Genomic DNA, 22,685 nt, shown 5'->3' with positions numbered 1-22,685 from the left:
CTGAGGATGATAATGGCTCCCAGCTATTGCTAGCTCTTAAATGCTTTCCTATCCCTTGTTGATTTCCTTTAACTGTTCCACTTCTTTGTAAATAGTCATTTCATTAAATTTCCCTCAATTGCCCCACTTAAGGGTGCCCTCTCTTTCCTACAACAACTAGGAGTGAGACAGAGGGTTGAGAAAGAGCCTTCTGAAGTTAATTCTTATCAGCCATAGGCATCTATTTCCTGAACTCCTTTGCCGTCCTCAAGTTTGTTAATGGATATATTTCACATCTTGTAAAATATGCTTACTGTGGTGGAGCTCCTGAGAGATGAACAGTACCCATAGAATTCCATCTTTCCCAACACTGACATGTCCTATAGAGCCTTTTGTGGGATTTGTACCAACTTGAAGGAGAAAATACCCCCCACACACATAAAGAAACAGGATGGGCATTCATGGACAGGAACCTAACTTCAGGGTAACAGAAAAATGATGGATTAGTGAAGGAAGGCCCTCCTGGACCTGTCTTTGGGAAGACTAGTCTTGGTCCTGTACCTAAAATTGCACACAAGCCCTTTAGTTTTAATGATTAGGTCCCCAGTTATAAAAAATGGTATTTGCCACTGAACCGGAAGTTCTTGTTTTTTTTGTGGTTAGCCTGAGGCCATGGAACTGCAGGGTCTCTTTCAGGGAGGTCTCCATGGTATCTAATTCCAGGGCCCCTCCCACTGCCACAGTAAACACCCTTGAAAGGCCCTGAAGGAATGTTCCCAGTGACCACCTGGGGATCTCCAAAAATCTGTGGGAGGCTCCTAGGCATAGTGGTTTCAGGGTTTTCATACCACCATCATCCAGAACCACATCTTACTCCTCCCCACACTGTCTGAACTGCTTGAAAAGTGTCAGTGAATGCAACTCCAAACAACAGAGGGCCCATTTAAGCAGAAAGCCTGGACAATGTCAGTTTGCCATGATCATGGCCCACTCTCTCAAAAGACTGCTACAAGACCATCACCTGGTTTAGCCATTGTAGCCCAGATAACGCCAATGTTATTGTTATTCTCTGCAAAACTATTTTAAGTTCCCCAAACTTTTCCAAATCCTCTGTTTCCTTAGATCCACCTTGCAAATCTATACTCTTGGCAGGATAACTACTGTTATCCTGTTTTTACAGAGAGATGAGGAAACTGAGATCATGATTTAAGTTCTCAGAGCTAGCTGTTGGCAAGACTGGAATTAGGAATCAGATCTGCCTATGTTCCCTGCCATCCCACTCCCTCTTTTTCACTACATTACCTTTCATCCATGATGTTTGTATGCACAGTTTATCAGTTTTCTTATTGAAAATGCTTCTAACAATATCTTAATGGTGTTCTTATTCTTGCTACTATGATATAAAATTCCAAATAAATTGTGTATTCAAAAAATTTGTATTCTTTAAGTTAAAATTTTTATTTACAATGCATTTTACCATTGCAAGTTTGAAAACACTGTGGTTAGAGTTTCAAAGTGGCCCAAGAAACCCAAAGATAGTAGAAAACGTAGTACTAGCAGTAGTACTAGTACTACAATCTACTTTCCTAGCCTACAGCAAGAATCTCTGCAAGTCCACAGCCCTGTTGAACTTGAAGCTTCCCAGAGGGAACTGTAGGTTCACTGAAGATGAAGTGTCTCCATGTCACAATGCCAGCAGGGGGCCCCATAACAGCTTTCACAAAGACTGGCTTCTGCTAAGTCAAGTATCGTAAGTGGATAACCAGCCTCCCTAAGTCAGATCCAAAGCTTCCTGCTTTGAAACCCTCCCACTCACAAAGCTGTGCATATCATGTGTCGTGGCACTAAATTAGCAAGGAATAAAGAAGCTTCATTGCTGTTGATTGTACTTCCCTTCTGTGATGGGGCCAAAAGGAATTACTTGTTGAGAGAGCTGGCACCTCCTCTAGAGATGCTGATTGAGTGTAGAAGAGATATGCACGAGCTGTGGGAGGGAAAGAAAGAAGGTATTTCCATTTAGCACTGGTTTTCTTTTCATTTCAGGGATGGTCACATTAGAGAGGTGAAGTTCAGACATAAGCTCCACACACTCCTCAGTGTTCACAACCTACATGGAATCTCAAGAGCTGGGAAGAGTCTCAAGCAATCCTCTCTCCACATCTGCACCAAAATAGGAAAACAGCTCTTCAGTATTCCTTGATCATCAATAACGTACCCAACACTGTCCTAAGCCCTGAAATATAGATAAAGGAGTTTCAGTCTGTGTTCTTGAAGAAAGTGGTTTTGAGATGGGGCATCAGATAGAAAAATATAATAAAGGGAAAATAATTGCTATTTTTTAACCAAACCTGCCTTCCAAGGTCATTCTGGAAATGTACTGCTCTTTGTTTTTCCTTCTGAGTGCTTCAGTTGATATGCTTGAGCAAAGGTGGACACAGATTCGAGTTGAGGGAAAGGAGGAAGGCAGAAATAAACACAAGAAGGTGAAAATAAATTAGATTTCTTGGAGCTAATCCCAGAGGGAATAGGTGAGGTGGAGGCAAGAGAGTCAGGGACAGAGAGAACCACTAGTGTGGCTGGTGCTGCACCGGGAGCACAACATGGGAGGCAACTTTGGAAACATCTGCTGGGTGAAGTGGCTGAAGCTTTTAGAACTGAGATGTCCAGTGTCCACTTTGAAATTGTTTGCATTGCTGCAGAGCAAACTGCCTCCCCACCTCCTTCCAGTAAAATTTACTCTGCTAAGATTGCCTTGTGTGAGTAGGGGTTTTGAAAATACGGAGGAAAGGCCTGCATTTCCTCCTGTTTGGGCTGAGGTGGTGTAGCACTGACTCTGGCACACACAGTATGGTGACAACCCACAAGCCAAGGATGCAGCCAGCTGAGCTCAGTGTGACTTCAATCCGCAGAAACCCTCGGGACAACGGGGTGTGGTATGAACTCACACCAAACACAGAATTGGAGGTTTAAGAAGATTTTCTGAGTTCTAAATGAGAAAGTAACCCTTGTTGTCTATTCTTCTTTCAAAAAAAAAGTAAAATGTTTAAAGTATTTTAATAGAGGTTAGGACATAATATTAGACCTTAGGACGTAATATTACTACCATATTGGACCAAGAAACTAAAGCAGCTGGGCGCGGTGGCTCACGCCTGTAATCCCAGCACTTTGGGAGGCCGAGGCAGGCGGATCACGAGGTCAGGAGATCGACACCATCCTGGCTAACATGGTGAAACTCCGTCTCTAATAAAAATACAAAAAATTAGCCTGGCATGGTGGCGGCGGGCGCCTGTAGTCCTGGCTACTCAGGAGGCTGAAGCAGGACAATGACATGAACCTGGGAGGCGGAGCTTGCAGTGAGCCTGGGAGGCGGAGCTTGCAGTGAGCCGAGGTCACTCCACTGCACTCCAGCCTGGGCGACAGAGCGAGACTCCATCTCAAAAAAAAAAAAAAAAGGGAACTAAAGCAACAAAAGAAGGGAAGTGGGGTTGAGAAAGGCTTCACAGAGGGGGGAAAATTAAAGCAGGGCTTGGAAGATGAATAGCATTTCACCAGTTTGAGAAAAGACAGCAGGAGAAAGGAACAAGGAAGGGTATTTTAGGTAGAGTTAAGTGCTTATGTCAGAGTTTCTGTACCTTGGCACCACTGACATCTTGGGCTGAATAACTCATTATTTAGGGCGAGGTCCTGTGCATTGTATAATGTTTAGCCGCATGCCTGACCTCTGTCCACTAAATTTTCAGTAGCACATTCCTGTCCAGTTGTGACAAACAAAAATGTCTCCAAACATTGCCAAACCAAATGTCCCCTGAAGAATAAAGCAAATGGCATGTTTGGGGGATAAAGGGCAATGAAGTTGAAACCCAGTGTTCATAGACAATGGTGGCCAAAGATAAGGTTGGTAAGTAAGTTATGACCAGATGGTGGAAGGAGACTAAATGCTTGCCATGGAATTGCCATAATTCTCTATGTCCTGGCAATTCAGATGTGAATTTTAAGCAGAAATAACGCAGTCCAATCTGTGTTATCAAAAGATAACCAGAAGTCATATAGATAATGACTTAGAAGGGCAGAGAATTTAATTAGACAATTGCTATGTCCTGTAAGAAAACAAACACAGCTACCTTGCTTCTTTGTCACTTTGGTCTGCAGAATGGTCCATGACCGTCCATGACTATTACCCTAAGAACTTTCTCTTAGGCCCAGCCAAACTTGCCCAGCCTTGACTCTGCACTAGTAGCTTGTTCTGAAGGCTGAGAACACCTGTAGCTTTGACCCCCTTATTTTAGCAACCATTCTTGAAGCAGCCAGAAGTTCACACCCAGAAGCCCTTTGTTTGTTGTGTTGTTGCTAACAGAGCCTGAGGTCTAACAGGGGTTTCCCGGGTGTGTTGATTAGCTTTCTGCTACCAGGGGAGCCAGGGACACAATGTGCGCAGGGGCTGCTCAGCTTAGGAGCCCACAGTCAGAACTGGTAGTTATTTAAAGCCTCCAAAAGTAGTGTCAATGTCGCTGCGGCAGGTTTTTTTTAAAGGTGCTTTAAGGGGCCAGGAGTAATGGCTAGCTGATTCTTCCACTTTGCCTTGCTAATTTGGGATTTGGGTTGCAATTATAAACAGCTGTTGCAACATCACCAGATTCCTAAGCACAAAAAGGGGTGACAGAAAATCTGATTTGGGCCTGTTCAAAATTTTGATAATTGAATTTTCTCCCTTGGGAATGAGACCCTATGGGTAGTAGGCTCAGAACTCCTATCACATTTGAAGCAAATAAAATGTTCCCTGATTGCGAAGAACACTTGCGTTCGATGAATATGTATTGAATACCTACCATGGTCCAAGCTATGAAGACAGCTTATTAAAATCCCATGCTGTTAGAGTTTACAAAGTCACCTCCAAATATGGCCCACAAACGAGTCCAGTCCTTCATTTACTCATTAAGTTATTTAATCAGTTATATGTTGAGCACATCTTCTGTGCAGGCACCATAGTCCTAGGTCTAGAGAAGCTTATAGGCTGGATTAATAAACCTAGAGGCAAAAAAAGAGCTGTTATACAATGGGGTAATGATTATAATGGATCTGTCTCATATGTGGGTTGAATAGACAGGTCATAGAGTTGAAGTTCTAAAACTCTTCCTTGGAATCAAGGACAGCTTTACAACATGACTGGCTCACTGAGAAGCTGAGAGCAGGTCTGTTTTTGTATACCACTTTATTTCTGGTGCTTTGTATAGTGGCTCTCACATAGTGGGCACTCAAATACCTGTTAAAGAATTGAATTAATTAATAATTAATTAATGCTGACATTTGAAGAATCCAGATGGTCTTGGCACCAAGAAATAGTATGCTCAATTCTAAAGTCCTTCTAAATCATCTGGTGATCTGAACCATCTAATGGTCTAATGCCATTAGAGGGGTACCTTCAAAAATGCCAAGAACCCTAATTTCTCTAATAAGCTCAGATTAAATTTGAACAGCCAAGATACTCATGAGAGTGAATGCCTTTGAAATAATGCCTTAAGGCAACAAGTTTGTCATTTTGATCTTATTATAAAGCAAAGGAACATTTTCCTTGATTATCTTGTCCTTCAGAAATGGAGCAGGAAAAACAAGCACGTAAGTCCTAATGTTCTGGAAAATACAAAATGGAACTCAAAAGTCTCGGCATTGTTCCCCTTGGTTTAGAACCATCAGAACCCTCAAGGTCTTTTGCAACAAAATTCCACTCAAAGTTAAGATACTTTACATCCTAATCCTTGTCGTGGAGAAAGCGCTAATGTAGTGAAAGCATACTGGACTGGGAATTATGAAGCTGTAGAGATTATTGCTTTTAACCCCAGGCAAATCTCTTCTCCTTTTTGTGCTTTAGCTTCCTTCTCTACCCTATCTCAATATCTTGGTCGCAGTGAAGCTCACCTGAGATCAGGGCAATGAATGTTTTGCAGAAGACCAAATGCTTTACAAATGCAATTCAACCCAATAAAAAAAGTTTTTTTTTTTTTTGGTTTTTTTTTTTTTGAGACAGGGTCTCGCTTTGTTGCTCAGGCTGGAGTACAGTGGCACAATCATAGCTCACTGCAGCCTTGATCTCCTGGGTTCAAGGGATCCTCCCATTTTAGGCTCCCAAGTAGCTGGGACTATAGGCATGCACCACCACACCCAGCTAATTAAAAAAAAAATTTGTAGAGACAGAACCTTGCTATGTTGCCCAGGCTGGTATCGAACTTCTGGACTAAAGAAACCCTCCCACCTTGGCCTTCCAAACTAACAAATATTTATTAAGCCCTACACTGGACTATTTAAGGAGGAACAATGAGAAGAACTAGACTCCATCTTCAGCTAGCTTACAAGCTATTTAGAAAGACATGCGTGAAAATACATATCTATAATACCTGGCAGAGCTGGGTAAGTCCCGTAATTCCGAAAGGCCATTGAAAATCTTCAATGAGACTGATAAGAGACCCAAACAGATCAGATTAAAAATACTTTCTATAATTTTCTATTGCTGCATAATAAATTACCACAAATACAGTGACTTAAACAACCACTATTAATGTCACAATTTCTGTAGGTCAGAAGCCCAAGCACGACATAGCTAGCTTCTCTACTCCGGGCCTCAAAGGCTGAAATCACTGTATCATCTGGGCTGCATTCTCATCTGGATCTCGTGGTCCTCTGGCTCACATGGTTGTTGGCAGAATTCAGTTGCTTCGTTCTTGCTGACTGTCAATGGGGGTTTCTCTCAGCTGTTAGAGGCTGCTGTTACATCCTAGAGATCTCCCTCAGATCCTTGCTACCTGGGCCTCTCCATCTTTAAAGTCTCGTATGACACCCAGACACCAATCTAAATATTGTTAGGCAGATTCTTTCTTTACATGGTTAATGTATTTTTCTGATTGTGATTATCTGAGATCTTAAGGAATTGAAATACTTCATCAAGAAATATAGAGCTATTATCTAGGTGAGCTAATATCAGTGTGAGTTACTCAAACTTAATGTTATCCAGAGAGGATCATCCAACCTAGTCCAACTTTCACATCAGGCTAAACAAAGAAAATGATGACACATGTAGGAGCACACTAAAGTGGTTAGATAAGGCTGCTTACAGGAGGAAGCCTCTGCCTCGGGGGCTCTGTCCACTTTCAGAAAAGCTTCTTAACAACTAAGGAAGGCAGTGTATCTACATATCCCTAGCTCATTCTACATATAAACACACTGGGTGGGGAACTCTTCTTGACTCAATAGGGAGTGCTTAATCAGCAATTGAGCATTATCAGGTGTTCTGTTTAATAACTATTTACCGAGTATTTATTATGTGTCAAGTACTGAGTCTGCGTGCTAGGAACACAGAGGTGAATAAAACCTGTCATCACCCTTAAATAACTCACTGTCCAATGTGAACATATATACTCCATTGTTAGGATAGAAAACCTTATTTTACTTTTTTAGAGAAAACTAATTGGCTGATAATGGCTACCCGAAGAACTGGTTGAGAAGGATTCAACCAGTGGACAGAGCTGTGAAGCTTTCAGGTACAGATACGAAAATACTGTGATTACTTAACAATTTTTGCCACATGAGGAAACAGGGAAAATAGCATAAGCACGCAAGCCACGTACCTCCCAACTCCGTTCCTTTAACTGCAGTAAATGATATTAAAAGCCCATTATAGGTTCTACTTTCAATTGTCACATATTATTTATACAACTATACTGTGTTTTCATTATCCTCCCTAGTAATTACCATTGTGTTTAGTAATCAACACCACTGATTTACGCAAGTTACTTTCAAGTCAATCACTCTAGCACTTAAAAACAATAGCTTTGAATGGGGTTATTTCCTGGGAGAATGTTAAATGTTTCCAGGTTCAGATATCCAAGGAAAGGCGGCTCCCTGCATGTAAGGGAAGAGAATGAAAGTTTTCTGGCAGCTGGACCAAGATAAAGTGTTCAAATAAGTGCTATAGTTGGTAGGGAGTGAATGGGAGTAACTCACTGTTTCCTGCCTGAAAGTGTACTGTTGGATGCATTCAGCTGCCTAAGGCAGCATGCTTTTAATTACTGATATAAATCCTGATAAGGTCCCTCAAGGGATCAGAAATAACCTTTAGCCATTCTGTCTGCAAACAATAGCAAGGCTGCAAAGGAAAGGTAACTGGTGCAAATGGTTGCACGGGAACTCTGTTATGTCCAATTTATTGTGTAAGCTTCACACCCCTGAGCTGGCTGCCCACACATCTGGGTTCCAATCCAAGATTTTTAACCTACGAAGACAGACTCTAAAGTCTCATGTCTCAGCAGACTAAAGGCTGAACCTAAATCCTGGAAAGGGATGAAAATGAAAGTTAGACATGATCGTGGACAGAGCTGTGATCTTGTGCTGTAACTGAAGGAGAGGAAGTGGGAGAAAAGATCCACTCCTTAGTGTATACTTTGTACCAAATGCTTTAGTTCTCACTCTAAATGTAAAGGGGTCAAGCTTTTAGGTTCAGATAAATGGATTTGAGGACATTCTCAAACATGGGCCAAGAAAGAGACATGGCATCCCTTGTCGACAGTTGTGGAATAAAAACCCTACAAGGAAGATATCAGATGCACCATCTGAGAAGGGAGGCAAGTCAGAAACAAACAGATCATATGAAATCTAGACACCAATCTAAATATGGTTAGGCACAAAAGCAAGTTCAGGTTTGCAGATTAAAATGGCAGGGAGCCGTGAAAGCTCTTGCCAGATTTTCTATCTCTCACCATCCTAAATCTGACTCCTAGAATCCCAGCCAAAGCCAGAAGCGGCCTCCCCATCTTCATGTGAGAGAAATTCAGTAGGTATTTGGCCCTGTCAATGTAAAAGCTTTTCAATGAGACTGCAACTTTATCAAGGAGAATGATGAAATGAATGAAGACATATGCTTGTCTCACGAACAAGGTCAAACTTGCTTTCCCATTGCATTTGACCTGGGGTGGTTGATATTTCCTCTATTAAAATCTTGGTAAAGATTGAATTTATTTTCTTCCTGAGGGAGTAATCCTTCAAAATAAAAACAACAACAACAAAAGACAAACCAATTTTAGAAGAAGAGGAATGTGTGGGAAGAAGACTGTGAGAGCTATGTTTCTTTGGAGTTGATTCTCTTAGGCTTTAGTCGGGGACTCATAAAGTTGCCTTTCATCTTAAATATGAAAAATATAGCAAGTTCACCCCATCTATCATCAGTTCCAGGGAGGCATGTGTTTATGAAAAGAGTTTATTAACTGGATGTCACTGGATTTTCTGGAAGAAAATATGGTATTCTCAATTTAGGAACTCTCTGTTCATTTATGCCCTAACTAGATAAAATCTGCAATATTAATTTTGGTAAACAGAAACTCTAACTCTACATTGGACAGAGATTCAACCTATTACCTCACCTTTGAAAATAAAATAAAAACATCTCTTTCCTCAGGCATACAAATTTGCAAGGTACAAATGTCTTTATAACTGCCATCAAGTATAACACTCAGCCTAATCCCCACGATACAAAATAAGTAAACTGGGGTTCATTCAGGCTAAAAAATGACTATTCAAGGTCACTTAAAGCTAGAATTTTAATTCAGTTCTTCAGACACTGCTATGGTCTAAATGTTTTGTGTCCCACCAAAATTTACATGTTGAAATCCTGAGCCCCAATGTGATAGTATTAAGGAGTAGGGCCTTTGGGAAGTGAGTAAGTCATGAAGACTCTGCCTCATGAAAGCCATTAATGCAGTTATAAAAGAGGCCTGGGGGAGTTTGTCACCCTTCCACCACTTGAGGACACAAGTAAAAGACCCTGTTTATGAGGAAAAAGACTCTCACCAGACACCGAATCCGCTGGTGCTTTCATCTTAGACTTTCCAGCCTCTAGAACTGTGAGCAATAGATTTCTGCTGTTTGTAAGTTACCCAGTATTTTATTATGAGAGCCCAAACAGACTAAGACAGACCCCAAGTCTGGAGCTCTTTCCATCACACCAGAGAGATCTTCAGAAATGTCTAGCATCCCATCTTCCATCTCCCTGGGAACACAAGCAATTAATGAAATCTGTATCTTTGCCATTTGCTATTTGCACTAAATAAAATGGAACTGGGTCCTTTCCATTGAAAATTAAGTGTGAATTGAAGAGCTGATTTCCATTTAACTGCAAGCAGAAAGAGAAAAGATTGACTTCACCTACAGCTGCAGGGATTTACAAACTATAAGGCAGAGAAGGTTGAATATAGATCATGAGCATGCTGAGATCATGGTGCTTGGAAAGATTTGTGGTGGGTAAATCCACAGAATGTGGCATCTGGCAAACGGAATACTTTTGTTCTTCAGGTCCTAAGGACTTATACAAAAACCCACACAGATGTTATCAGGGGCCATTTATGTACTTTCAGTTATCATAGTAATTCAGGTTCAGAACAGTCAGCCAACTTGGGTGGACACAGGCCCAACTGGGTGTCCTCTCTTACTCTTGGGCTTTGGAGGGCTAAGTCCAAATGACTTTGGAAACCACAGGCACGTGCCCAGCCTCCTTGGAGGATGCCGGCCAAGGAGGCAGGCCTTGGACACAAAGGGAAAATGGGGAGATGGAGCCAACAGCCAGCTGAGATGAGTCATCCTTTGGAAGTCTTCACTTGCCCCATGGCTTGCTAAGTACAGGCCCACACCTTGAAGGACTGCAGTTTTCCCAGAGAGCCCAAGCCTTACTGGTGGTAATAAGACTCTCAGCCTGCTGGGAATGGATATAGGTAAGTTATGCATTTCCCTCATCCCTGGGGTAGGTAGGGGTAGTCCCAAATGATGACTTACATATCTGATCTTTTGCCTGGGGGACCCAAGAATATATTTCCTCTCCAGTGGCAACAGACCTAGGAAACACAACTGAGATATACATATCAAACCATCCCTTCTCATAATTGCCAATATTACCTAGATGCTGATAACTCCACAATGTTTATCTTCCATCCAGACCCTTTTTCAGCACTCTAGACCAGGGGTCAGCAAACTTTTTCTGTAAAGGGTCACAGTGTTTTAAAAATATAAAAAGCATTCTTAAACAGGCTCTGGCCCTGTTGGCCCTCAGGCCATAGCTTGCCAACCACTGCTGCAGATCTCCTCTACCCCATTCCTCATTCCTCCCTCTTCTCCCTAGCTCATCTGCTTCTACCATCTGCCACTTATTTTTTGCTTTTCCTCAATAGCAGTAAATCTTCAAATCTGAAAGCAGCATGATTTTTAGAGGTACCACATGTCATGCCAGGACACGCTAAATAAAGTTGGGTGGTTGTATTAGTCATCTGTTGCTGTGAAGCAAATTACCCAAAATTTTGTGGCTTAAAATAAAAACTAACATTTATGATTATCATCCCTGACGGTTTCTGTGGGTCAAGGACCCAGAATAACTTAGCTGACAGTTCTGGCTCAGGGTCTCCCAGGAGACTGCTGTCAAAATATTGAGCAGGTTGACAAGCACATCCTAAAATGTATATGGAAATGCAAACACCTAGAATAGACAAAACAATTTGAAAAAAAAGTTAGAGGAATTTCCCATCCTAATTTCCAAGCTTACTTTAATAAAGCTATAATTATCAGGAACAATGTGGCACTGTTCCATAAATAAATCCTTAGATTTATGGCCAAATCACTTTTGACAAGGGAGCAAGGCACTTCATTGGGGAAACAGTAGTTCAAAAATGGGGCTGACACTGTAGGGTGACTATAGTTAGCAATATTATGTTATAAAATTTCAAATAGCTAGAAGGAGGATATTGAATGTTCCCAACACAAAGAAATGGTAAATGTTTGAGATGCTATGTATGCTAATTAACCTTATCTGATCACTACACATTATATACATACATCTCAACATCACTGTGTATGCCAAATATGTGCAAATATTATATGTCAATTTAAAAAATTAAAAATTAAAAAAATTTAAAGTGGTGCCAAGGAAATTGAACTTAGACCCTCACCTTATACAATACACATAAATTAACTCAAAATGGATCACAGATTTAAATGTAAGTGCTAAAGCAATAAAATGTTTAGGAGAAAATATTCAAGATCTTAGGTTAAGCAAATAATTCATAGATACAACACTAAAAACATGGTCCACAAAAGAAAAAAAAAGTATACATTGGACCTCATGAAAATTTAAAACATTGGCACTTCAAACAAAAGACTCCACTCAGAAAATAAAAAGATAAGCAACAGACAAAGAGAAAAATATTTGCAAAACACTTATCTGATAAAGGACTTGCATCAAGAATTTACAAAGAACACTTCGAACTCAACAATAAAGACAAACAACCCAATCACAAAACAGATAAAAGATGTAAACAGACATTTCACCAAAGAAGATATATGAATAGCTAACAAGTGCGTGAAAAGATGTTCAACATCATTAGTCATTAGGGAAATGCAAATTTAAACCACAGTGAGATACCATTTCCCACTCACTAAATAAGCTACGATAAGTTAGACAATTAATAATAAATGTTGGTAACAATGTGGAGAAATAGAAACACTCATACACTGCTGGTGGGATTATAAAAGGATGCAGCACCACTGTAGAAAACTTTTGCAATTCTTCAAGTAGTTAAACATAGTTATATTGGGAAAACATGTGCACAAAAAGACTTACGTGTGAAAATTCATAAGAGCAAAAAAGTAAAAATCCCAAATGTCATCAATAAAATAAAATGTGATATATTCATAGAATTGAATGCTATTCAGCAAAGAAAGAAAGGAACAAACTACTAATAAACACTACAATGTGGGTGAACCTCAAATACATTATGTTAAATGAAAGAAACAAGACACAATTGACCACATGTTATTATCCCATTTATATGAAATGTCTAGAGAAGGCAAAATTATAGATGCAGAAAGTAAATTAATGGTTGCTTAAGGGGAGATGAGGGAAGGGGTATTATTATAAATTGGCATGAGGAATATGATTGAGAGGATGAAATGTTCCCAAATTGATTAATTGTGATGGTTGCATCACTCAATAAAGTTACTAAAAATCATTGAATTGTAACACCTGAAGCGGTTCAATTCTATAATATGTCAAATATACTCCACTGATGCTGTGACTGGGTGGGGATTTAGTCATTAGAAGTCTCAACTGAGATTGAAAGATTTACTTTCAAGGTGGCTTACTCACCAGGCAGGCAAATCAGTGCTGGTTGTTGGTGGGAGGCTTAAGTCTCTCCACAAAAAAGGCTCTACAAAAGGCTGCTTGAGGTCGGGAGTGGTGGCTCACTCCTGTAATCCAGCACTTTGGGAGATCAAGGTGGGAGGATCGCTTGAGCCCAGGAGCTCACGGCCAGCCTGGGGAACATAGCCAGACCCCATCCCAAAAAATTTTTTTTTATTTAAATTTTTTTAAATGCTGCTTGAATATCTTCACAATAAGGCAGAGCAGAACTCAAAAGAGAGAGTGCCAGATGTCATCTGTTATTTTAATGACCTTTCCAGAGTCAGAGCCTCACATCTGCTACATTCTACTCATTGGAAGTGAGTCACCAAGTTCCATCCTAAATTCGAAGGGAGAAGACCTAAGACGCACCTTTTGAAGTGCGGCATGTCGGAGAACTTGTGTACCCATTTTAGACCCTCTTCCCTCAGTCTCCCATCAGACCACGAATTGCTTATATTCATCCCACATGCAAAATACACAGACTCCCTTCCAGGGCATCTAACATTTTCATCCCATTACAGCACCCAGGTCTAAGATTTTGTCATCTAAATTGTGTCCCAGTGCAAATGAGGCTCCCTTGGGTATGGTCCCAGAAGATCAGCTGCTCACTCAAGTACAGGTCCCTTTGATCTATAAATCTGTGAACTATAGAGACAAGTTTTTCCACCCCCAACACACAATAGTGGGATGATATAGGATGATCGTAATAGACTTTCCCATTCAAAAAAGGTGGGGGGAAGGAGGCTTACAGGAGTATCCATACATAGCAATTCTAAAATCGATTAGAATACATGTTAGCAGTTCCTTGATTAGGCTCTAGGTCTAATCCATGGTTCTTGGAGTATTATCAAGAGCTTTTGGGCTCTTGATTTCTGGCCTTCTTTTTCCTTGAAAAAGAGCTCAAATTTGCAATTCACTAGTATTCTCAGGCTATTTGCTGCTTATAGAAGTTTTGGGGTTCAGCTGATTTTTTTTCATTCCATATTATCTATTCCCCTTTCACTCTAAGCAAACAGTGTTTCTGACAATGTTATTATCTTAACAATGTTGTGAGTCTTCTATAAATTTTATTAGGCTTTACTCCATTAGACAAAAGCCATACTCACAAATGTCTTCGAGATCTGCCCTTCTCTACCTTTGGCTCTGATGAAGTTCCTGAGGGGCAACAGCCTTAGAAGCACTATTGTTTGATGAAAGTGTCCTTGAATTTTTTTGAGATCTTAAAGAATTTCATAATTCCAGGCTCCGCTTCATATTTAGATGATGTTTTCCTGGAAGTGCCCTAGATTTGATCTTGAAACCATACCTTGATTTTAGCATTGATTTCCATTTGAAGGGCTGGTAATTTTAAAAGCCAGCGACTTCTGCCCTTTTTTGCTTATCAGTCTTTCCTTCAATTTATCTCTTTCTAATTACATATAGCATCTCTTTTAGCAATGACAATCATTATTATTGTTACTATTACAATCATTAAATTAGCTGAAAGTTCAGAGCAGAAAGCATTATGCTAATTGAATCTGATCAGTATAAATTATGTATTGAGTTCTGACCCCAGAGATTTTTCTGAATTTTATTATCTTGATAGTCAAATATTAGACATTTTATAGTGCTTTAAAATTTACAAAGGCCTTCTTAAAAATCACTATCTCTTTGTTATGATAGGTGTAATTTTCTTTAGTTTTATTTATTCATTTCCTACGTCATAAGTTTTTCTTAAATTCTACTCATAGCCCTTTTCTTCATCTCCATTTTCAAGTCACCATAAATTGAAGCCATTTGAGTTCTCCTGGAAATGGATACAGGCTTTGCCAATTCCAGGAATTTCTGATTGATCAAATAACTTCCATTATGTCAAGTCAGAAGAATTTTAAAGTAAGAAGAAGCAAATCCTCAAAGACCACTGTAATTTCATAAATGTCTTAAATGGAAGAGATAGGGAGTGCTTTTGGTTTAAAGAAAACAAAATTAACCCATTAACATGTTTCCTTAAAACTTTAGAAATCCAAACTCTGTTATAAGCCACATATTGAGTTTGCTGGATTCAGAATAAATTGCTTATTAAACAGACACAATAGAAATAGCCTCTTAAATTTAAATGGTGCCTGTATTAGTCAGTTCTCACACTGCTATAAAGGACTGCCTGAGACTGGGTAATTTATAAAGAAAAGAGGTTTAACTGACTCACAGTTCTACATGGCTGGGGAAGCTTCAGGAAACTTACAATCATGGTGGAAGGCAAAGGGGAAGCAAGGCATGTCTTACATGGTGGCAGGCGAGAGGGAGAGACAGCAAAGGAGAAACTGCCAAACACTTATAAAACCATCAGATCTCATGAGAACTCACTCACTAACATGAGAACAGCATGGGGGAAACCGCCTCCATGATCCAATCACCTCCCACCAGGTTACTCCCTCATCATGTGGCGATTAAAATTCAAGATGAGATTTGGGTGGGGACACGAAGCCAAACCATATCAGTGCCTTAAAATTTCCCAAACACTTTTACAAACATTCAAAGCAAAGTACACATCTAAATATCTCTGGTTAGGTGTAATGGTTCACACTGTAATCCCAGCATTTTGGGAAGCCAAGGAGGCAGGAGAATCATGCGAGCCCAGGATTTGAGACTAACCTGGGCAACATAGGGAGACCCCATTTCTACAAAAAAAAACCTAAAAATTAGCTGGACCTGGTGGCACGCCCTGTAGTCCTAGCTATGCAGGAGGCTGAGGAAGGAGGATCTCAGGCCCAGGTGGTCGAGGATGCAGTGAGCCACAGTCATGCCACTACACTCTAGCGTGGGCAACAGAGAAAGGCCCTATCTCAAAAAATAAATATCTCTGCTTCGGTGCTATATTCCCTCATTTTAAAGATAAAGAATCTGAGAATCAACCAGGCCGTAGAACGACTGTAAGTGGCTTGCCACAGATGCCACAATTAGTCAGGCCCACATCTTCTGACTTTTCCTCAACTCTGCAACTCAGATTTTGGTCCCAGGACCAGCAGGCTGCAATCCCGGGAAGCTTATAAGAAAGGCAGAATCTTAGGTCCCACTCCTGACCCTGAAAATCAGAATTTGCTTTTTACCACCACCCCTGAGAGATCCGTGTGCACACTAAAGATTGAGAAGGTGCACTACACCATGCTGCTCCACTGTGACTGGACTCTGTCCTGCGAAAGCCTTCTTCACCCTCACAGTAGGAGCCATCTAGTCTCTCCTCTCACCAGGCACAGCCAAGAGCCTTCTTAACTTTCTTCCTTTGCCTCAGTTCCGGAAATCCTGTAATATCTCAGAACCCCCTAGTCCCACTGCCCTGACTCCTCAGCAGTTAGACCCTAAGCAGATACTGGAAGTCCTTGTGTGGCATAATCCCTATTTTATGTTTGTTATGTCTACGTGAAAGATGTTATTACCTCCATCTAGCAGGTGGGAAACCTGAAGTAAAGTCATTTGCTCGAGATCTATAGATAATGTCCACTTTTAATAAAAGCCAGATCATTTTTACCTCTTAGCCCATTCTAAGGCCTGATACATACCGAACCATGTGATAAAGGATTTCCATAGTAGATTTTTTTTTTTAACTGAGAACAATCAAATCTTCCCTTAAAAAGGGAACTAGGCTTGAGTTAGGTCCAGAGGTCTGGGTTGGAGTTCCAGTTCTGTGGTTTTTTACCCATGTGACCTTGAGTAGACATCTTCACCAATCTGATTATGTGCTACTTTATCTGAAAAGTAAGGAAGTCTCACGTTTACCTTTGTCTTAAGGCTGTTTTAAACCTTAAGCCAAATAATAAGTCTGCATGTGCCAATCATAATGCCTGGCACATAAAAGACATTTATACATTAAAACCTAATTCATACCTACAGTTTTGCTTTGTTTGTTTTTTGAGACATGATCTGGCTCTGTTGGCCAGGCTGGAGTACAGTGGTGTGATCTCTGCTCACTACAACCTCTTCCTCCCAGGCTCAAGCCATCCTCCCACCTCAGCCTCCCAAGTAGCTGGGACTACAGGCATGCACCACCACACCTGGCTAATTTAAAATAAAAAATCATAGAGATGTGGTTTCACCATGTTGCCCAGGCTAGTCTCGAACTCCTGAGCTCAAGTGATCTGCCCACCTCAGCCTCCCAAAGTGCTGGGATTACAGGCGTGAGCCACTACGCCCAGCCCATACATACAGTTTATACATTTATTGGGATACATTTCTGATTCTCTCCCATCCTCCATGCTCCAATCTTCATCTTCCTCACCCAACTGACAGTGGCCCAAGATAACATTTTCCCATATATCTTAGTTTCATATTTGAAAGGTTGATGGGTCTCTCCTGGCTTCAACACCCAGGCCAGGGACAAAAATCTCTGGCCCACATGTGATGGTCCCCAGACAAGAGAGGTAACTGGATTCCCACTTCACACAAGTGATGAACAAGTAAGAGGCAAAGTGGAGTAACAACAGAGTAGTCTGAAAAGTAGACCTCCTGGGTTGCTCTGCCACGTACTTTCCAAGACTTGTGGTCTTGGAAAGGTGCTAAGAATTTTCTGTGGCTCAGATGCTTTTATCTCTAAAATAGAGGTACAGTTTAATAATAATAATACATTCCTCATAAGGTTGTTATGAGAATTAAATGAGACACATCACATGTAATTGCTTAGCCTAGTGACTTACACATCCAAAACATGTTGGCTGTGGTTTTTGTTTGGTCCCTGAATTGGAGGCACCCAGAGGACTTAGGCTGTATGTGACTCTGCCTGTCTCTGTGTGAGAAGTGAATCTGTGGGGCCCCACAGCAGCCAGGGCTGCTAGCTGCTTACACACTTTCTAGAGTAGTACTAAGTACACTTTTATCCTGCAGGTCAAAAAGGAGGGACTCTTCAGCCCACTCCTTGGATCTCCTCAGGGTCATCTAGAAGGAGATTGTTTTTATCTCAAAAGAAACACTCAACTGTTCCTCACCAGGGGAAAATATACAGGCAGATTTCTGGTTAAACATGTCAAACTCAACACATATTTACTTCCCTGCCCTTTCAAAACCTTAATAAAATGATGGTAATGGGGGAAAAGGTGAAAACTCATAAAGACAAAGAGAATAGAAAAAAGGACAATAAATTTTTTTAATGTTAACAACATTTTTGAAGATTAAAAAGGATAATTGTGTGGTTACAGATTTACTAAAGAAGAAAGTGAAACCGAAGACTGCTAAGAGAAAATCAAAATAAGCTAAGCTGATTTGGAGTCTAGAAAGGCTCTGGAATTTGAGATACTAGATACCTCTGAGAGCAGAATTGAGCCATAAGACTGAAAACAGGATGGGTTGACAGTCTGTATATAGGGCAGTTGATTCCCCTCACCCTCTCCTTACTCCTAAGCAACCAGGGGAGTTCCTCCCCAAGCCAGACTAAAAATTGGAGGCTGGATCTCTGGAGCAGTGAACCACAGTAGCTACGAACTGCGGATGTCAGGTGCAGATGGGAGCAGGGTGAAGTGTCATACCAAAAACAGGACTATAAAAATGAATGTCTGCATTTTGCTTGGTAAGACTCTTAGCTCTTTTTGACTCTGTAGCTCCCAGACTGTCTCTGTCAGGCAGTCTTAAGATACTCCCTAGACAGGATGTAGATATTTCTTCTCTCTGGGCTGATCCCAGAAAAGCACCTACAGATACTAACATTTCATCTGATGAAAAAGCTGGCCCAGACCTGATCACCCTATCATGATGCCTAAGAGTCAACATACTTGTCCTTTGCACCCAGAGTTCCTTGTCAGCATCTAAGCCAAAGAATGCCAAAAGTTTGAGAAGAGTCTCTAACATAAAAGACAAATTGACAGAAAAATAATAGGAAAAAGGGAGAATTTGCATGGAGCAGAAGAAAACCAAAACTAACAAACTGCAACCTCCATCCTCAGATAATATGAAAAAATATTGTGTCTATAGAGCAAGAACTGATGAGTTCAGGGACGAGTTCATGGAAATACACCAATATGGTTAACTTTTTTGTTGCTGTTAAAAGTCAATTGAATGGTTGGAAAATAAAGTTGAGAAAATCTAAAAATCTAAGGAAAAATCAGAAATGGAAAAATATGGGAGAAATATATAAAAATTAGAGGAATGAGTGCTATGGTAGATTAAAGATGGCTACAAATTTTTTGCTATTCCTCTCATTGAGAGGTAGAGTCTAATCCCCTGCCCTTGAAATTGAGCTGGTCTTAGTGATTTGCTTGACCAATAGAATTTGGTAGACATGATACTGTGGGACTTCCAAGGCCAGGTCATAGGAAGCCCTGCAATTTCTATCCAGGCCTCCTGTAATATCTAGAACCCAGACATCATCTCTGAGAAAGTTCAAGCAGCGCCATGGAGTCTCATGTGGAAAGTACCAAAGCCCCCAATCAAGAGCCACCACCACCCTGCCAGCCCTGTGACTGACCCATCTTGGAAGCAGATATTCTTTTCCCAATGGAGATAACCCAGTGATGCCACATAAAGCAGAGAAAAAGCTACGCCAACTGAGGAGTCTCTGAATTGCAGACTTGTGAGCCAAATAAACGACTGCTACTGTTTTAAGCTACTTAGCTTTGAGATGGTTTATATCAATAGATAACTGGAACAAGAGTCAACATTCGACTGATAAGAATTTTAGAAAGAGAAATGGGGGGAAAAAGAAAACAATAGAAGGAAGGAAACTTTCAAAATACAAATACAAGAGAAATTCCCAGAACTAAATGTCCAGATTTAAACCAAAAGAAAAACAAAATACTGAGTGCCCAACAGTAGCCCAAGATACATCATCCTAAAATTTCAGAAACTAGGCTAAAGAGAAGATCCTAAAAGTTTCCAAAGAGAAGGGAAAAGCAACATACAAGTATTAGGAACCAAACTTTTGCGTAGTAGTGCTGGGAGCCAAAAGACCATGAAGCAATGCTTCAAAGCTATTGGAGAAAGTAATCTGAACCCAGAATTCTATTCCCAAATTATCGATCAAGTATGAGGAGAGAATAAAGACATGGTTGTACATGCAAGGTCTCAAAGATGTGTTCTGTCCAAAGACAGAATAAATCAAGAATGACAAAATCCTGAGATTGAGGACACAAAGATGAGGCACCAGAGATGGGAAGCAATTCCCAGGAGAAAGATGAAGGGCAAACTCACTGTGCCTGCTGAGTAGCAAGCCCAGAGATCCGGCACTCTAGTGTGCAGAGTAGGGGACTCAGGGGCTGGGGGAGCAAGGTGAGAGGAGATGGAATCAGTAGGTTTCCTGGTGTTTAAGCCTTATTGAAAGGACTTTTGCAGTTCTGACAATGATTTATGCTTCAGTTATGGTAGGTAATTGAAAAATGAAGCAAACACAAAACGTTAAAGAAATCTTTAATTCTAAGAAAAGCAAAAAGTTATAGAGGAAGGAAATGCAAACACTATATTCTACAGACTTAGCTATAATAATGCTTAAGTGTTCGTGATAATGTAAACATAGACTGTTTAACCCAAAATTGTGAAATTGGGATGTGATCACGTTGTAAGAATGTAGGGAGAAAAGCATGTGTGCCTGGTGTAGGGGACAGTTCTAAGAGAGCTGAACTGTCTTGTGCCCAGGTAAGAGATCATTAGCTAACATCTTAAAATGAAAAATCAAGAGAAAGCAGTCTACACATAGGATTTGCTTGTAAAGCAGTGCAGTTATACTTAGATCGATATGAGTCATAACAGTCGTTCTCAAGAGGATTTTTCTGGGACAGCAGGTCAGGATGAGGACAAGGAGAGTGAGATGCCCAGGGCTCAGACCTGAAGTGCACAACCCTGAAAGTGAGCACTTCCTTACGTCTTGTACCCTAGGCACCTCACTTGCCTGACCCTGGTTCCTGCTCTAGGAGAGAGCACTGGATATCATAAAGGTGATGGTAGAAAGAGCAAATTGTGGAAAAGATATGGAAAACATAGAGGTAAGGAGGCTGAAGATTATGTACAACACCTCCTAAGGGATGGATTGAAGAAGGGTTCTTTAAGTCAAGCCTGAAGAGATGATAAGCCTTTTTGCAAGGCAAAGAGAAAGGCATTCTAGTTTCAACAAACAAAACCAAAGAAATGAGGATATATGAACACCTGGGTGTGAGGTTGGGAAAAAGTGAACATAACTATAAAGGTCAAGTGCAAGCATCTAATGGAATCCTGCTACACATTACAGATGCTAAAACACTATCTTGCATTCTTAATACATGGTTAGATTCTTGAGAAAGAATTTGCTTAGAAAGCAGAAGGAACTAATTTAAGCATACCCTGTAGTTGATTGCCTTTCCCTCCAGGTCTGAAAAACAAAATCTAGAGATTTCAATTTGTCAGCATCAGTTGACTGATAATATTAGCCCAGAGAGGGACTTGTCTTGAGGCATTTGGCATGAAGAGCATCTAGACAGATAGATAGATAGATAGATAGATAGATAGATAGATAGATAGATAGATAATGGTTTGGCTGTGTCCCCACCCAAATCTCATCTTGAATCGTAGCTCCCACAATTCCCATGTATAGGAGGAACCTAGTGGGAGGTAATTGAATCATGGGGGAGGGTCTTTCTCGTGCTATTTTCATAATGGTGAATAAGTCTCATGACATCTGATGGTTTTATAAAGGGCAGCTCCCTGCACACAATCTCTTACCTGCTGCCAGGTAAGACATGCCTTTGTTCCTCTTTCGCCTTCCACCATGATTGTGAGGCCTCCCCAGCCATGTGAAACTGAGTCCATTAAACCTCTTTTTCTTTATAAATTATGCAGTCTTGGGTATGTCTTTACTAGTAGCATGAGAACAGACTAATACCTATATATTAATATATATGAGATGCTTCCACTGAGAATTGAGTTTTATGAGTTTGCACAGTGGAGCTTGGTAGACAAGAGCTTGCTGAGAAGAGCTATCTCCCTTGCCATGAGGAGCACAAGGTATTAGGTGCCAATGGGCTCTCCCAGCTCCAAAGCCTGGTTCTCAAGAGTCCCTGGGAAATAGATCAGGAAGTTTAGGTAGGAGAGGCTCAGAATTTGCGATGACTGATGATATCATTGTGAAAACAAACAAACATTTAGCCCCAGATCCTCTAAAGAAATGGAAGACCATGTTTTGTTTGCCTATTGAATGGCTTAACATAATATTTTCTCAATCTCGGTCCCGTATCAATTTCTGACAGTACAGTTGAGGGCTGATGCAGGACTGCATTGTCTCCAGAGCCAGCCAAGGAAATTGGGAGTTTGGTCAGTGGCTGTAAATATCCTCTTGGTATTTCACTTTGTTTACTCTGAAGTACTCTCTCAGAGGCTGAGAGGGTTCTGGGACACACTGGCACCAGGTTTTCAGTGGGAAAGATCAGCTGCTGAGATAAGGGTTGGGGTCCGCCTTGAGACGTGCCATGAAAAAAGATCTGATTTAGCCATTAAATCCCTAGAAAGGGTGGTGAGTATGACTATAACAATGGGGTATTCAGAAGAACACTTGGAAAGCAGGAAAGGGATTTTCAAA

At 40.7% G+C, this 22,685-nt stretch overlaps 1 long non-coding RNA gene across 4 annotated transcripts in view, besides 1 other annotated feature; it reads right to left on the bottom strand.

Moving 5' to 3' along the window:
* The window catches only part of LOC101927389 (uncharacterized), a 35,673-nt gene that overhangs the window by 4,977 nt on the left and 8,011 nt on the right, over window positions 1-22,685 (bottom strand). Inside the window, exons 3-6 of one of the 4 annotated variants that reach the window (XR_934869.3) lie at window positions 6,369-6,426; window positions 4,806-5,004; window positions 2,091-2,212; window positions 1,436-1,963 (exon numbers count right to left, since the gene is read on the bottom strand). The exons of 1 other annotated variant lie outside the window; for it this stretch is intronic. This is a non-coding gene — a long non-coding RNA (uncharacterized LOC101927389). Of the gene's footprint in view, window positions 1-1,435; window positions 2,213-4,805; window positions 5,005-6,368; window positions 6,427-22,685 lie in introns of those variants that run through there. 2 more of the 4 variants (XR_001752944.2, XR_243722.5) reach the window with 2 other exon arrangements.
* Window positions 17,861-17,930: a silencer, noted in NCBI's record as "silent region_8735". NCBI's record gives its function as "represses an Ori minimal core promoter by ATAC-STARR-seq in GM12878 lymphoblastoid cells {active_cell/tissue: GM12878}" and the evidence as "EXISTENCE:reporter gene assay evidence [ECO:0000049][PMID:35858748]".

Source organism: Homo sapiens, chromosome 17 (assembly GCF_000001405.40).
Source record: "Homo sapiens chromosome 17, GRCh38.p14 Primary Assembly".
Classification (NCBI taxonomy): domain Eukaryota; kingdom Metazoa; phylum Chordata; class Mammalia; order Primates; family Hominidae; genus Homo; species Homo sapiens.
The sequence above is the reverse complement of the archived record's forward strand: the minus strand, read 5'-3'. Positions and strand labels throughout refer to the sequence as shown.